The 2,559-nt window shown below is 38.8% G+C and overlaps 1 annotated feature.

Annotated features, from left to right (window-relative positions):
• Positions 1,024-1,203: an enhancer, noted in NCBI's record as "active region_25692". NCBI's record gives its function as "activates an Ori minimal core promoter by ATAC-STARR-seq in GM12878 lymphoblastoid cells {active_cell/tissue: GM12878}" and the evidence as "EXISTENCE:reporter gene assay evidence [ECO:0000049][PMID:35858748]".

Genomic DNA, 2,559 nt, shown 5'->3' with positions numbered 1-2,559 from the left:
TCTTCCTTGGGCAAAATTTCTAAGCTGGCTAATGAGCCAAGACTTACAATTTTTGTAGCTTTCACATCTTTAGATGTCAGGAGCTATTATGCGGCTTATTTCTCCCCTCTGAAATGTCCCCTTTATCCAATTTTCCTTCTGTTTTTCTGCTTCAGGGGTTGGCTAACTACCACACATGGGCCAAACTCTGCCTGCTGAGTGTTTTTCTAAATAAAGTTTTAATGGAACATACTACTTATGGCTGCTTTCATGCTACAGAGCAGAGTTGAGTAGTTGCAATAGACGCCATCCAGCCCACAAAGCCTAAAATATTTGCTATTTAACCCTTTACAGGAAAAGTTTGCTGATCCCTGTTCTACATTAAAAAAATTATTCCCTTCTTTTGCCGCCAATAGAGATCATTTCCTTGTTACTTGCCTCTGCTAATGCACTGACTTAATTATTTACTGTGCTACTCTTTTTAGAATTACGTCTGTAATTTCTTAGGGTATACTAGAAATAGTTAATTAATCCAAGAAATGACTCAAAAACTGAATTTTTTTTTAGAATAGAAGTGAGGAGAAAAATGAATTTGGGATAGATAAACCTGTGGTTGCTGACCAAATAGCTCTCCATATAGCTGTCATCTGTGGATACTATGAGCCTTCCAAGCCTCTTATTCTCAAAATTAAAATTAAAAAGAGATGTACAGATTTTCCAGGATCACTTCCAGTTCATTTTAAGTAAATAGACTTATGCAACATTGTCAGTTAGACACTAACAGCAAGTGTTGTTTTCCTGGTAGTACAGCTATCTGTCTAGATTGAAAACAGAGACACTTAGACAAATAAATGAGAAAGTACAGAAGTTGTACTTTAAATGCTAATTCACATAATATTTTTTACCTACTTCTGAGGAAAATGACATTTTCCCATGAATTAAATATATATAGTAGGATGCATTTTGGAAAAATGTCTCTTAGAAAAGAAAACCTTTAATTTAGTTTGTAGGTAGATGTGCCAGTTATCCATTTATGGCCTCTCAGCTCTAAATTCACCCTTTTTTTCCTGCTCTGTGATAACGACATGGGCCTTGTTTAACATTGTCAGCAGAGGATATTGAAGGGACACCAGAGGATAGTTTTTGTTTCGTTTCAGGTTTGAGTGTGCTCCTCTAGTTGCAAATGTGCTGCTCTAGCTGAGCTCCTGCAGAAGGCATGGCTTTTTTTCAGCAATATTCTGACATCTAGCAGCAAGTTACATCTCCCCAGCTTCCCTCAGCACAATCCCCACCTTGGGCTGTTTCCAGCAACAAGTTCAATGGTATTCCTGAGAGGAGCTAACAAGTTGCATGGTTTTCCAGTTAAGTATCAATATATCCTTTGGACTTCCACTGCTTCCAGGTGGCTTTCCCATGAGTCCAGCTGCTGCCCCAGCTGGCTTTCCAGCAGGTCAACAGCAACCTATTCAAGCAGCTTCCTGTGAAATTCATCAGTGTCCCAAAAAACAGTTCTCAATTGGCCTAACTGACAGCTGGGGACTCTCTGTGATTTGGAACAACCCAGTTAAATTTCCCATTATCTAGTTTGCTTCAACTATACCCTCCTCAATGGGATCTGAATTCCAGCTTTGGGAAGGATTCTCTTCCTCCAAGCTGTTCCTTTCTTGAGTACTCTCCCCCAGCAGCCCTTATCCCTCAGAGCTTTCTTCGTCCCACCCACTTTTACATAATTCCCCGTGACTCCTATCCCTTGTTACTATTTCTTTATATTAAACTTTCCCTGTTCAAATTATTGTGAAGTTTCTACCTTCTGACTGGAATGTAACTAATACAGCAGAGAAGTAAGAACAAACCATGTTTGTTCTTAAAACATTTTATCTGGTAGGAAAATTAATCTTTTCCAAGTATAAAGAGCCCATGGATTGAACAGACTTTTGGATAAGGCTTAAAATGAAACTGCTGAATCATTTGCTACTTCTGCACACATTCCCTTTGGTGTGTGAGACCACCTCTCGGAATTATTGTTAACTATAACAGTGGGGCAGAGAAAGAACTCATAGTTCAGTTCTCTCAGTCTCCTAGAGAAAGCAAGAGCATGAAAGGAAAACATCCAAGTTTGGTCTCCTATGTTGAATATCTTGTCTGAGTTCCACTTATATCTCAGTTCCAAACTTGGATGTTTTCCTAAAAATGTTGATTCTCAGATCCCATTCTAGACTAACTTTTAATCAAGAGAACATTCCATGGTTACTACTCATGGAAAAGATGGTGCACCCTGCTTCCTTACATGGATGTCTTGCTTTCTCTCTGTCACCTGTAAGCCCCAGGCACACTGAGTCCATAAATGCCTTCTTGGCAGAGGTTCTCAGCATCATAGTTCCATGGAAATAGCCATGCCTATGTGAGAGAAGAGCATCAGTGGTATGAAATGTGAGTAAGCAAGTGGATTCCCTGTTGAGTGTATCTTCTGTGCCTTTCAATTGTGTGTTTTGCATAAAAACTCAAAGAAAAGTTTAATTCACAATAACCATTCCTATAATTAAAATTTCCAAAGGAATAAAAGCAAGGATATTTGTATAA

Source organism: Homo sapiens, chromosome 7 (assembly GCF_000001405.40).
Source record: "Homo sapiens chromosome 7, GRCh38.p14 Primary Assembly".
In the NCBI taxonomy this organism is placed as follows: Eukaryota; Metazoa; Chordata; class Mammalia; order Primates; family Hominidae; genus Homo; species Homo sapiens.
This window is presented reverse-complemented; position numbering and strand designations above follow the sequence as displayed.